Below are 14206 nucleotides of genomic sequence, written 5' to 3'. Positions count from 1 at the left end.
AGGGCTTCTTCCTCGGGCCTCCAGGCCCCGGACCACTCTTGGTTGTCACTGCTGGAGCTGACCGCCAGGTCCACAAGCCCCTTCTCCACAGACAAGGGCCCAGGTTCCTTGGGCATCTGGGGACATAAAACTCTCCTGTATCCTCAGCCCCATTCTGCAGAGGAAGGTGGCCAGGTGCGGTGGCTCATGCCTGTAATCCTGGCACTTTGGGAGGCCAGGGTGAGAGGATTGCTTGAAGCCAGGAGTTCAAGGCCAGCCTAGGCAACAAAGTGAAACTCTGTCTCTACATAAACAGAAAGAGAGAAAGGTGAGGATCAGAGAGGGGGTGTGGCTTATCCTGGGTCGCAGAGGAAGAGAGACACAAAGCTGATTGGTCTCTAGGCTTGGCAGTGGGCCAGTGAATGCCTGTAGAGATTAATGCTAGTGAGGCAGGCTTCATTCTGTAGGCAGGGCCTCGCCCCTGCTAGAGCAAGGTGGGGGCCAACCAATAGCTCTATGGGTAGAAGAGCATGTGTTGTGCTTATCCATGCGATGTGTTCCCAGGAAAACTGCTTCACCTCTCAGAGCCTTGGCTTACTTGGTGATACAAGTTTTTGTCGTTAGGAAAACTACATGAGATAATCCCTGCACAATGCATTTAGCACAGTGCCAGGCACTGCAGGGCTCAGTAAATGTGACTTTCCCCAGTGCATGGATTGTTGAGGGACCTACATCCCCGCACTTACACACACTCCCTAGAGGTCCCAAGAGGCCCAGGCTTTTGGGAGGGAGTTTGGAGAGGGGCCCCAGCTCCAGCCCCAAAGCAAGAGTGCAAGACACCCCTTCCAGCCCCAGCTCCCTTCCAGTGCCCAGGTGCTCTTAGGGTCTGTGATGTCCAGGGTCTCACAGGGTTCTGGGCTGGAGCTGGAGGGGGTTGAGGGGTGGGCCCCAGCAGAGGCCTCATGCTCCCCTTCTCCCAGGCCCCTTCCAGAGGCACTGGGCCAGATCAAAGGGACCCAGCACGGAGGATCAGGAGGCAGCTTGGAAAGAATGTAAACATGAGGATATTTTTAAACTTTTTCCAGCCCCAGCGATTAGGGCTCTTGAAGCCGGAGGCCCAGAGGTCAGTCTGGCCCTCACCCACAAAGAAAGCAACAGTCTCGGGCCCTCAGAGACCCCACCCCACCCACATCTACCTACACCCACCCAGGACTCTAGCTGGGGCCTCGGGGCAGAAGTTCTTCCTAGGGTGTCACCTCCAGACACACTGCTGCGGCGGGAGGATGCGTTTCTAATGTGAGGGCCTCAGCGGCATGGGACCCTGACTTAAGGGGTGGTGGGGGCCTACCAGACAGGGCTGATGTTGGAAGACTGAGCTTGGGAGGCTTCTTAGTGGCCCAGTCACTCTACCAGGCGTGTGTGCACACGTGTGTCTGTGGGTGTATAAGTATATGCTGCAGTCTGGTCTGTGTGATGCACGCATCGGAATGTGTGAGTGTGCGAGGAGCTTGCCTCGGCCCACCCTTCCTCGTTCTTCCCTAGCATCCCTGACCTCCTCCCTGGGACCCCTTTGGTAGGTGGGTGACATGGGGGGGGTACAAAAGAGGAAGAGTCGCCTGAGAACAGGGAGGACGCGAGGAGAGAAAGGCGCCAGAGCCGGGGGCGAGGAGGCTGGGGGTACCAGGTCCGGGGCCATGCAATGAGTCAGGCTGTGAGAGCTGCAGGAGTCACTGATGTGGGGACTGGGACTCGGCTCCCTCCATCACCCCCATGTGTCACAGTTGGAGATGAGGCTCCCTGGATCTCCCGATTCCGGTGTCACAACTACGCTCACCATGGGTTCCATGACAACAGCCTCTTACCTTGTAGTCACGCAGCTACCCTCACACCCTCACAGGAGTGTCACAGGACTCATGCAGGGCCCCCCCAACACCACCCAGTGGTCGTATCCCAGTGACCCCTATCTGTGAGACATGAGGACCCTCACTGTCTTCACATCCCCACTGACCAGAAAGCCAGAATTCACAGGGGCACTCAGAAGCCAGACTAGACTGTGGTCACCAGGACAACGGGGTACCCAGCCCCTGGAGAGGCCTCGGCTGGCTATCTCATTCTCCAGGGGCTGCTGTGCCACCTTGCCCTGCTTGTGGGCCCTGAGAGGGACAATGTCCAGCTCCATGTCATACAGCTCCCCAGTGAAGGGCAGGGCTCAGGCCCCAGCTCAGGATCAATGTGGCGATGGCATCCCCTCCAGATTCCCCCTGCTGAGGCAGCAGCCACAAGGGATGAGGCTTGGAGTTTTACCCTAAGATGTGGTAGGATTTTGGGCCCAGGATGATGGGGGAGCTAGGTGGGGCTGGAACTGATGGAAAGGGGAACCTGGAGACTCATCCTCAGTCTGAGGCTGAGGCTGGACACCTAAAGACATGGTTTGTGTCCCTGTGGGTGCCCACTCACTGGGGCTGTTGCTATTCTTATCCACCTCCCAGTGGCGGTGGCAGTGGTAGTGGCAGTAGGGTCAGAGATAGCTGCTACGTGGGAGAGAGTCATGAGCACCAGCCCTTTATCTGACACATTCCCTGGAAACTTGGCAGGGCCTGCCAGCCTCTGGGGGCCTGGGCGGGGCAGGGCGTGAGGTGGTCACAGGGATAGGATGAGGGGGCTGGGCTGGGCTCAGTGCCGATGAGGACCCGCTCCAGCTGCCTCTCCCACAGCCAGGCAAGGTCCCCTCAGAATTGGCCTGGGGGGTTCTAGTGAGATTTCTTCCCATGCGGAGACTAAGACCACAGGTCACCCTCAGCTCCTACTCACCCTCAGTCCAACCCAGAACACCCCACCGTTGGCCCCATCTCTGAGCTTTGGGCACTCCAGAGAACAATGTATTGGCTTCCTCAGTGATGTGGCTTCTTCCACGGGAGAGCACTGAACTGTGAGCCACAGTGGCCCCATCTGGTGGCTGTCCTGCCTACTTCCCAGCCTCGTGATCTTGGGCAAGTCAATTCCCATCTCTGAGCCTCAATTTCCTCATCCCTCTCCTGGGCTGTGGTGGAGATGACAGGGTCCAGTGGTCAGGAAGCAGGCTGACGGCTGCAAAATGTGAGTGTGTGTGCACGTGAGCACTTGGGTGGGGGGGCCAGAGTGGGGAGAGGGAGGCATATGGGTCTCCCACTTTGGGAGACTCCCGCCCTATGGATTTTCCACTGGCATGTCGGCACCCTCTCCCCTAAAATAGGCTCTACGAGCCGTGTGCGACAGAGCCCAGACTGAGGGGCCTTTTTTTAGCTGGCCTTTGATTGTCAGCTCTCGAGCAGCTGCTATTTTGAGCCCCAACGCCTAGAGGAGTAGGGCCAAGTGGGGGCTGAGGTTAGCTCAGTGGGCCTGGCTGGCTCCCCGAAGGCATCCCCAAGGGGGCTGGCCATCCCATCTCACACCCTGCATTGCTGGCAAGGAGAGCACGACATCTCCTATAGATGGGGCCTAAGGGCTCCTCTGTCTACCTCTGCGGAAGCTGCAGACCTGGCAGAAAACAACCACATTTACAGAGCACACCCCACAGGCCACTGCCCACCCACCCCCACCCAGAGAAGAGCATGCTGTGGGGATTAACTGAGATAATACAAGCAAAGCCCTTACTTAGCACAGAGGCTGGCACATAATTGGCTCTCAAAAAATGGAACAGCTTCTGTTATTATTGTCATTACAGCTGCAGTCATTCTTGGTTTTGTTGTTATAGTTATGTTTTTACCAGATTTCTTTCCAGTCTTTTTTCTATGCATTTATTTTATGTTACTGGGTTCGGGACATGACCCTTCCCACCCCATCCCCATACATGTGTACACGCCTAGTTTCAGCAGAAAGCAGCCCCTCTCAGTCTGCTGGGGTGCCCTCTATGTCTCTGTGCTCCACTCCATACAGGAATCCCCCCTTCTATATAAGGCTTTTGGGGTTGACCCTCGAGATGGCACTTGACCTTTCAGAGTGGATGTAGTTGTGCCCACAGCTTCTGTGATTTCTTCAAATGCCATCAGCCACTGCCCCATAGGATTCCAGGCCCCCAATTCTGAATGTCCAGTTCTAGATGCTAGATCCCTGGCTGGCCACTGTACCTGGGTTCTAGAGCCCTCTGACTGGAACCTGAGGAAATGGGCTTGGTCCACAGCTAGATGTGAGAAAGTGGCATTGCCACTGCATAAGGCGTGGCAATGGATCCTAAGGACAAATGTAGATGCTCTGGGACTCTGGTTATGGGGTGTGTGTGTGTGTGTGTGTGTGTGTGTGTGTGTGTGCAGGGGTATGGGCTGCTGAGAAGAGGGGGATGAGGGTAGGAAGCCAAGTTCTGGGAAGTGGCTGGGGCAGGCCCTCCCCTTCCCTATTGGGGTCACTTCCCAGCAGGGCAGCAAGATCAGCTGGGGTTGGGGGGTCATATGTTCCATCCTTGTCCCAAACAGTTACTGCACAAGGTGAGACTTCCTTGTTACCCGAAGGACAAAAATAGGTCCCAGGTGATGGGCCACGATCCATGCCCAGAACCACAAGGGTTATTCTGAGTGGCAGGCACAGGGCCAGGCCTGGCCTCAGTCAGGTGGACCTGAGCTGGCAGTGGCATCCTCAGCCTGCGGGCTTGCTCTGTCCATTCAGGGACCCTAAATGTAGGTCGGGGGCTGGAACTGCGTGCAGGCTGACGCTCGATCGGTAGGGGCTTGAGTCCCAACTCCGCTATGTGACCTTGGGTAAGCCACTTGGCATCTCCGAGCATCTACCTCCTTCCCAAATGATGGGAACCCTGATCCCTGCCTCTCAGGGTGGGTGAGAGAATTTAGTGAGGCTGACAGATGGCACTCAATAGATGCACAAATCCCTGCTCATCTGTCCTGGAGTCTAGGCCCAGGGGTCCAGAGAGGGTAAGGGCCTTGCCTGAATTGCCTAGCAGCAGAAAGGTCCCTTCTCCTCCAACTCTGAAGAAGCAAGAGCCAGGCACAAGAGCACATTTCTGGGAGGGCATATAGGGATTTTCCAGGAACAGCTCCATCCAACTGGAGAATTCCATTCCCAGCCCTGCTGCCCAGGGCCCAGGCTAAGGAGGAGACACTCCAGCTCACTCTGGTTCTGTCCAGTTCCTGCTCCTCGCCGGCAGAGCCCAGGCAGAGTGCCCCACACCCTGTTCTCTTGCTGTTTGCTGTGGGGTTTGAGGGGCCTGAGGCTCCTAGGTGCCCCCCTCGAGGCCCTGGCACAGAACAGCTGGTCTGAGCACACAGTTGGTCCTCTCCCAACCCCTGATCCCTTCCAGGAGCCCACTGTTTCCTTCATCCAGCATGTCCTAGAATTTTCCCTGGACCCAGCTCCTGCCCTCAGGCTCACCCCAGATGAACATAGACAAGCTGACATGATGGACGCTGACTTGGGGACAGATGGCACCTGACCCAGCTCCAGGGTGGGGGTTGACAAAGGCAGCTGGAGAGGGGAAAGGTGGTCAGGTTGGGACAACTGTCTGGGCAAAGGCTCAGAGGTGTGGCTGTGCTCAGGGGATTGGGACACACTGCAAAGTTTCCTTAAGGCTGGAAGTCGCCTGATAGGCACCGGGGGGTGGGAGAGTGGGGGCGTGGGAGGTAGGGGGCAGGCAGAGGGTTGAACAGAATATTTATTTGCTGAGCTGGAATTGAGCCCTAGTCCCTTTCCCAACACAGACTTATCTCTTCCCCCCACAACCATCCTCACCAGAATTTTGGCCAGAAACAAGAGGAGTCCTGTCCGAGGAGAGCCCGGCTGGCTGACTGGAATCCCAAGACATGCCAAGGTGTTAGAGGCACTGCCAGGGAGACCCCTCGGCCCTTCACACAGTGGCTATCCTCTGGGATATTCCTGTATCCACAAAATGTATTTTCTGCACACACAGGTCCCTGGGAAATGACAGGACACCCAGATCTGCTGGGAGCAGAGTTCTCATAGGGTCCCAGCTGAGCCCTGGAACTCCCCAGACCCCCTCTGCCACTCCATCTCTGCGTCAGCCCAGCACCTGTGCCCTATCCGGCTTTGGCCACCATCTCCACCCTGGGGAGGGGGAGCATAACCCCCTCCAGCCTGAGGTTGGCGCCAAGGTTTAGGAGCCAGCACAGAAGCCTCTGAGAGCCATAAGGGTAGAAAAGGTTACCCGGTACTAAACCAGCCAGCCTCGGGGTGATCTCATCCACTTCCCAAGATAAGCCCCCTCCCCCACCCTCTGGCCACTGGCCAACAGGGTAAGTCACGAGGGAGCTGGTGGAAGAGTGTGTGTGAGGGCTGGGGGAAGGATTTCAACTTGGGGTCACACTGTACATTCTGTTTTGTGATCAATTCCCCCCAACATTTACAGTATTGACAATTAGCAGTTTCCTGTCAGATAAACTATAAAGATCTTCCCCCATCACTTTTTCTTTTCCTAATTATTTCTAAAGTCTGCCAGGATGGACACATCAGAATCTCTTTGTCCAGCCCTTGAGGAGGACATGTAAACAGTGTCCAGTTTCTCTTTCTTACAAACACCAGTGCCATAACCATTTTTGTTCAAATCCTCTTACGCAATTGCCTCTCTCTCTCTCTCCCTTTCTCTCTTTCTCTCTCCCTCTCTCTATTTCTCACTCAGTTGAGATAAATTCTGCCTGGTAGCAGGTGGGAGGGCAGGCCTCACTGTGTGCCTGAGTAGTTCTGGGCCCTTCCCCAAGCCAGAGGTGCCAGGCCCAGGGCAGAGGCCAGTCCAGGGCCACAGGGTCAGGACAGTGGACAGGCTATGGTCTGCTGGACTCTGCCTGCTCGAGGCGGGCTCCCCAAGCTTCCACCTGCTCTTGCCCACCCCCAGCCCCAAGGACTAGGCTGGCCTGGACACAGGGAAAGGCCATATACAGGGTATCACATGACCCATGCGTGCACACAGCCCCCAATCCCAGGCATAGGCAGAGGTCCCAGCCTCAGGGTGGGGCCCCCACACTCCGTCCAATTCACATCTTGCCTAGTGCTCCCCAGCTCTTGCTAGAATGCTTCCATAGACCAACAGCTCACTCTCCCTCCTAAGTTGCTGCCCGGCCTTTGGGGAGCAGGTGGAGCACATGCTTCTTATCAAATCAATACCTATTCGGTAGAATCACATGATTGCTGAGGAAGGTTTGGATTCAGACACCAGGGTTTCAAACTCGACTCTGCATTTACTATTTTTGTGACCTTGGGCACAACCTTTTACATGCCCAGGCTCAGTTTCTTCATCTGTAAAATGGGTTAATAATACTTGATCATAGGGTTGCATGAAGATTAAATGAGATAATACATGTAAAGTGCTCAGCAAGGCTCACAGATGTGACCTAGTTTATGATCACAAATTATCACAAATTGAGTCCCTACTATGTCCAGTTAACAGAGAGACTCCCTCACTGGAAGCAACTCAGAGTGGCTGAAGCACAGAAGTGGTAGAGGTATGAGATGGGGTTGAAGAGTGGGCAGGGCCAGGTCACACTCAGCCTTGCACATCATGAAGGGATTGTGACATTTTTCTGACTCCTTGGAAGCAGGGGAGGATGGTGGGAGGCAGAAATGGGAGGATGTCACTGAAAGCTTTTATTATTTTTTTTAATGATTTGTTTGTTTGTTTGTTTGTTTGTTTTAGAGACAGGTCTCTATTGCTCAGGCTGGAGTGCAGTGGCATGATCATAGCTCACTGTAACCTCAAACTCCTGGGTTCAAGCGATCCTTCTGCCTCAGCCTCCCAAGTGGCTGGAACTACAGGGGTGTGCGACCACTCCTGGCTCATTTTGTTCAACATTATTTTGTTACAACATTGATGAAGAAAAAAATCTATTTCTGGCTGGGGCTACTGTCTGTGTGGAGTCTGTAGAGGACTTTCTCTGGGTACTCTGGTTTCTTCCCCCATCCCAAAGATGTGCATGTTAGATTAACTAGCTTGTCTGCATGCTCCCAGTCTGCATGAGTGTGAGTGTACTCAAGGCAATGGCATCCTGTCTAGGCCTGGTTCCCGCCTGGCGCCCTGAGCTGCTGGGATAGGCTCCAGCCATCCATGACCTTGAACTGGAATAACTGGATAAATAATTCTATTACTTGTTTTTATTAATCTTTCTTTCTTTCTTTTTTTTTTTTTTTTTTGAGATGGAGTTTCACTCTTGTTGCCCACGCTGGAGTGCAATGACACAATCTTGGCTCACTGCAACCTCCGCCTCCTGGATTCAAGAAATTCTCCTGCCTCAGCCTCCTGAGCAGCTGGGATTACAGGTGCCCACCACCAAGCCCGGCTAATTTTTGTATTTTTAGGAGAGACAGGGTTTCGCCATGTTGGCCAGGCTGGTCTCAAATCCCTGACCTCAGGTGATCCACCTTCCCCAGCCTCCCAAAGTGCTGGGATTACAGGTGTGAGCCACCACACCTGGCCTTGTTTCTATTAGTCTTTCTTACACGTGTTTCAATGTTTAATATGAGAAGCATTTGGGTCTTTATTTAGAAGTCTGATGATATTTCTATCACCAGAAATATGCTGTAGGAACTTAACTCTTGTTTATGTCAATTAGCCTATGACAAAATTGGTTTCCTTGTATGTCATTTTGCTTAAAGCTGCAATTTCCAAGAACTACATTAAGTGAGGACATTATATAAAGACTTACTATATTCTATTAGTTGTTGTCAGGCCTCTGAGCTCAAGCTAAGCCATCATATCCCTTGTGACCTGCACCTATACATCCAGATGGCCTGGAGCAACTGAAGATCCACAAAAGAAGTGAAAATAGCCTTAACTGATGACATTCCACCATTGTGATTTGTTTCTTCCCCACCCTAACTGATCAATGTACTTTGTAATCTCCCCCACCCTTAAGAAGGTTCTTTGTAATTCTCCCCACCCTTGAGAAGGTACTTTGTGAGATCCACTCCCTGCCTGCCAAACATTGCTCCTAACTCCACCGTCTATCCCCAAACCTATAAGAGCTAATGATAATCCCACCACCCTTGCTGACTCCTTTTTCGGACTCAGCCCGCCTTGAGTCCAAAATAAATAAACAGCCTTGTTGCTCACACAAAACCTGTTTGGTGGACTCTCTTCACATGGACGTGCGTGAGACAGTTATAAGCAAGACTCTAAGGCCAGCCCAGATTCAAGAGGAGAGGAATTAGACCCCACTCCTTGATGGAAAGAGTGTCAAGGAATTTGTGGTTATCCTTAAAACCATAACAGGGCCAGCTGGAGCAACATGGCGAAACCTCATCTCCACAAAAAATACAAAAATTAGCCAGGTGATGGTGCACGCCTGTAGCCCCAGCTACTCGGAAGGCTGAGGTGGGAGGATCACCTGAGCCAGGGGAAGTTTGTCTCACGTGTCCGTGTGAAGAGACCACCAAACAGGCTTTGTGTGAGCAACAAGGCTGTTTATTTCACCTGGGTGCAAGTGGGCTGAGTCCGAAAAGAGAGTCAGCAAAGAAAGGGTGGTGGATTAATCATTAGTTCTTACAGGTTTTGGGATAGGCGGTGGAGTTAGGAGCAACGTTTGGCAGGCAGGGAGTGGATCTCACAAAGTACCTTCTCAAGGGTGGGGAGAATTACAAAGAACATTCTTAAGGGTGGGGCAGATTACAAAGTACATTGATCAGTTAGGGTGGGGCAGAAACAAATCACAATGGTGGAATGTCATCAGTTAAGGCTATTTTCACTTCTTCTGTGGATCTTCAGTTGCTTCAGGTGATCTGGATGTATACGTGCAGGTCACAAGGGATATGATGGCTTAGCTTGGGCTTAGAGGCCGGACATTGTTGAGGCTACAGTGAGCCATGATCCTGCCACTGCACTCCAGTCTGGGCAACAGAGTGAGACTCTGTCTCAAAACAAAAAGCCCATAGCAAGAAGCAAAAGTTGGAGGGTTCTCGGCTCCATCCCAGGGATAACCAGGGCACAGGCCCAATGCTTGCAAGAGGTGACTTCAGCTTGTGAGGAAAGACAAGGATCTCTTTCTCTTTTCCCACTCTTTCCTCCCTAACATTTTAAATGCATGTGCAAGTGCCTACTTCATACCAGGCACTGGGCTGATCCCTGGGGACTCAGAGGAGAGTCAGAGGAGGTCCCTGGTGCCGCCAAGAGGGCAGACAGACTGACAGACATTGGCAAGCTATCTGAGGAGATGTGATGGAGGTCCCAGTGCCATGGGAACTGGAGACAGGAGCTGGTACTGCCTGGAAAGCCAGGAAGTCTTCCCAGGGCAGGGGATGCTTCAGCAGAGTCATGCTGAGTCGCAGGAACAAGACAGGTGGAGGTGGATGGTGCAGTGGTAGGTGTTCCAGCGGAGGGAACAGCAAGGCCAAAGGCCTGGCATGTTCTAGGAACATGTGACAGCCATGCCCACCCTGCTGGGAACAGATGGAGGAGGCTGGAGAGGCCACCCTGGGGAGAGGGAGTCTGAGCTTTCCTCCTTAGGGTGAGGGGGAGCCATGGTTCGGAGCAAAGGAGTGACATGGTCACGATGACTGTGGTGTAGTGGGTGGAACTGACTAGACGGACAGCCGTCATTTGGGGCAGTGGAAGATAAAGGTGGTGTAGTCCATTATTGGAACTGGGACAGGGGAGGACAGATGGGAATGGCCCCCCGGGCTGCTGGAAGAGTGGTTGTGGGGACTGGCTGTAGGGAATGGGGTAGGGAGGATGGGGGTCAGAGGCATGGGGTGGTCCACAGAGGAGAACAGCCATGCGGGGGAAGATGGTCAAGGTGGCAGCCACTCCCCCACCATCTGGAGCTCACTGCCTGGCTCTGGCTTCTCCTGGGACCCCAGCAGTTCCTTCCCTACAAGACAGGGCTGGGTGACCACAGGACCGGCCCTTCCTCCACCCACACTTGTTCCCAGCCCCAAAGACATCCCAAGTCCCAGGAGGCTTTCCAAAGGTGCTCCAAGCTGCAGTCGCCAGGAGACCCAGCTTGGGCTGGGGACAGGCCTCAGGCCGCATCTCATGAACATTTTCCTCCAACGGCACTCAGCTGATGCCAGTGTGGTCAGATGGCGACATCTAGAGGCAACTTCTGCTTCATGCTGCCTCACTCACAGAACCCCACAGCCAAAGGCTCCCCACTGGTGTTCTCATCATGCCACCCTCAGGATTTAGTAACCAAGACACCAGTCAGAGCTTGGAAGAGCTTCTCCACCCCTTCATGCCAAAGCCCAGTACAGGGCTGGCAAGGTCCCTGGGACCCCAAGTGAACCGTGGACACTCTCCCCTTCCACAGGCCCAGGAGCATGCTGGCTGGTTGACAACCTTCCCCACACCATCCCTTCACTGCTTCGTTTCAGAGGAAGGGATTCTAGCAGCTCAGCCAACTCTCCGCTCATACAGCAATGTCCTCACCTCCGCCTCACCATCCGGGATCATCCTGTGTCCAGGGCCCTGAGTGAGAACACAGAATGGCCCTCACCTTTCTGTAGTGTTCCCCTTTTTCTGTTTTTGTTTGTTTGTTTTGTCTTGTTTTGTTTTGGAGACAGGAACTCATTCTGTCACCCAAGCTGCAGTGCAGTGGTGCGATCATCTCTCTTTGCAGCCTTGACCTCCCGGGCTCAAGCGATCCTCACACTTCAGCCTCCCAAGTAGCTGGGACCACAGGCATGCACTACTACACCTGGCTATGTAGTGTTCTTTTTTTGGCGAATTGTTCATTTCCATCCACCCACACCCAAAGCCCCTCTGGTACTGGACACTCCTCACCAACTTTCCTTGCTTTTCACAGCCATGCAGCCACTCACTGTTTGCCTCCTTCTCTCTCACCTGCTCCTCCCTGAATTGTCTATCCACCACACCATCAGTCCTCCCATCCTTCCTCACTCATTCCACAGGCAGCCTGTGCACCCCCAGGGCAGGACAGGGGACCAGGACTGTAGCCACAGGGGTGGGGATGAGGAGGAGGCAAACGAGGAAACAAGAATACCCAAAAGCCCTGGTATCAACATGCAGGGAAAGTGGGGGACTGAGGCAGGACTTTCTGCTTTGCCCCCTCCCTACCTCTATGCTGATGAAGAGCCAGCCATGCCTCCAGCCCTTCCTGAGGCCACCACATGATCTTGCTTATTTTCCCATTCCAGGAGGTCACCTGCAGGGCTCCTCCCACCTAGCCACAATGGCTAGTCCCGCTGCCTCCACAGTGGCCCTGCAGCCCCATCCCAGACCCACTGCACGGGGTCACAAGCTTGTGCAGGGTGGACAGAGCAGTAGCTCATGGCAGACATTCCTTCTGTTCATCTGTTGCAGGGAAAATGGGGTGAGGCATGGGAGGGGTTCCCAGAATCCCAGAAAGGCAGAAGGAGTTGAGATCTGAGACAGAGTAGGCTTTGGAGACTCCCTCCACAGACCACTCTCCCAGGGGCTAGGTTAATGGGCCTGCTTTGGGAAGCTGGGGCAGGTGAATCACCTGAGGTCAGGAGTTCGAGACCAGCCTGGCCAACATGGTGAAACCTCATCTCTACTAAAATACAAAAATTAGCCAGGTGTGGCTGCACATGCCTGTAGTCCCAGCCACTCGGGAGGCTGAGGCACAAGAATCACTTGAACCCAGGAGGTGGAAGTTGCAGTGAGCCAAGATCACGTCACTACACTCCAGCCTGGGTGACAGAGTGAGACTCTGTCTCAAAAAAAGAAAAAATGAAAAAAAAAAAAAAAAAAAGAAAAAGAACTGGGGCTGGACACGGTGGCTCACATCTGTAATCCCAGCACTTTGAGAGCCTGAGGCAGGAGGATCACTTGAGGCCAGGAGTTCAAGGCTGTAGTGAGCCATGACTGCACCACTGCACTCCAGCCTGGGCAATAGAGCAAGACCCTGCTAAAAAAAAAAAAAAAATATATATACATATATATATATATATATATATATATATATATACACACATATATATCAGAACTGGAGCCCAGGCCTCCACAGCCCCGCTCCCCCACTCCACCCTCCCTCCCACTTCCTGCCTTGCTCCTCCCAGCTAGATGATTTCCCAGATCAAGGCTGCTTGCTGGTAGAGAAAGTCAGGGGCCAATGGAGCAAAGATATTTGGACCCACAGACATCAGTAAAGGTTCATCCATCCCAGAGAGCTGATTGGAGCACTGGCCACCAACAATTCAGAGGATCACTAAGCTGGGGACCATTTAAGGGCATTTAGTAGCATCAAGTAAAATGGAAACAGAAACTCTAGAGATGGGCCAGGCATGGAGGCTCACACATGGAATCCTAGCACTTTGGGAGGCCGAGGCAAGAGGGTCGCTTGAGGCCAAGAGTTTGAGACCAGCCTGGATGACATGGCAAAACCCCATCTCTACAAAATACAAAAAAAATTAGCTGGGCATGGTGGCACATACTTGTAGTTTCAGCTATTCTGGAGGCTGAGGTGGGAGGATGGTTTGAGCCCAGGAGGCAGAGGTTGCAGTAAGAAGATATCATGCCATTGCACTCCAGCCTGGGTGACAGAGCCAGATCCTATCTCAAAAAAAACGAATAAACAAACAAACCTATAGAGATGAAAGGCAAAAAATAAGTCTATAAGTTTAATTCCTCCCCGCTCTATTTAAAGAGCTCAAACAGCTCAATTTAAAAATTTTAATTCTGGCCAGATGCGGTGGCTCAAGCCTGTAATCCCAGCACTTTGGGAGGCTGAGGTGGCAGATCACCTGAGGTCAGGAGTTTGAGACCAGCCTGACCAACATGGAGAAACCCCATCTCTACTAAAAATTAGCCAGGCATGGTGGCGCATACCTGTAATCCGAGCTACTCAGGAGGCTGAGGCAGGAGAATCGCTTGAACCCGGGAGACGGAGGTTGTGGTGAGCTGAGATCGTGCCATTGCACTCCACCCTGAGCAAGAAGAGCAAAATTCCATCTCAAAAAAAAAAAAAAAATTTAATTCTCCCTGTGTTCCCTTTATCATGTTCTAAAATGATGGGACATTGGCATGTGTATAAGTTAAATATATGTAGCTTTACTCATAAGAGCGAAAGCATTATCAGAGTCCACAGAGCTATTTTATTATTACTACTATTATTATTATTATTATTATTTATTATTTTTGAGACTGAGTCTCGCTCTGTCGCCCAGGCTGGAGTGCAGTGGCATCATCTCAGCTCACTACAACCTCTGCCTCGTGGGTTCAAGCAATTCTTCTGCCTTAGCCTCCCAAGTAGCTGGAATTACAGTTGTGTGCCACCACACCCATTTAATTTTTGTATTTTTAGCAGAGACAGGGTTTCAC

The 14206-nt window shown here is 52.8% G+C and overlaps 2 long non-coding RNA genes across 2 annotated transcripts, besides 3 other annotated features; one reads left to right on the top strand and one right to left on the bottom strand.

Moving 5' to 3' along the window:
* Positions 709-3193: an enhancer, noted in NCBI's record as "VISTA enhancer hs1760". NCBI's record gives its function as "enhancer in: heart[14/14]" and the evidence as "EXISTENCE:transgenic organism evidence [ECO:0001131][PMID:17130149]".
* On the top strand, positions 1106-6677 carry LOC107984821 (uncharacterized). The gene is made up of 3 exons (XR_001752244.2): positions 1106-1275; positions 5698-5773; positions 5873-6677. It is a non-coding gene; the product is annotated as an uncharacterized LOC107984821 (long non-coding RNA).
* Positions 5469-6362: an enhancer, noted in NCBI's record as "H3K27ac-H3K4me1 hESC enhancer chr16:66933907-66934800 (GRCh37/hg19 assembly coordinates)". NCBI's record gives its function as "activates a minimal SCP1, AML or CMV promoter by ChIP-STARR-seq in primed H9 embryonic stem cells {active_cell/tissue: H9 hESC(primed)}" and the evidence as "EXISTENCE:reporter gene assay evidence [ECO:0000049][PMID:30033119]".
* Positions 6363-7258: an enhancer, noted in NCBI's record as "H3K27ac-H3K4me1 hESC enhancer chr16:66933011-66933906 (GRCh37/hg19 assembly coordinates)". NCBI's record gives its function as "activates a minimal SCP1, AML or CMV promoter by ChIP-STARR-seq in primed H9 embryonic stem cells {active_cell/tissue: H9 hESC(primed)}" and the evidence as "EXISTENCE:reporter gene assay evidence [ECO:0000049][PMID:30033119]".
* LOC124903700 (uncharacterized) lies at positions 9352-14008 on the bottom strand. The gene is made up of 2 exons (XR_007065089.1): positions 13715-14008; positions 9352-11371 (listed from the first exon to the last, which is right to left on the bottom strand). It is a non-coding gene; the product is annotated as an uncharacterized LOC124903700 (long non-coding RNA).

This window comes from Homo sapiens, chromosome 16 (assembly GCF_000001405.40).
Source record: "Homo sapiens chromosome 16, GRCh38.p14 Primary Assembly".
Taxonomy (NCBI): Eukaryota; Metazoa; Chordata; class Mammalia; order Primates; family Hominidae; genus Homo; species Homo sapiens.
The sequence above is the reverse complement of the archived record's forward strand: the minus strand, read 5'-3'. Positions and strand labels throughout refer to the sequence as shown.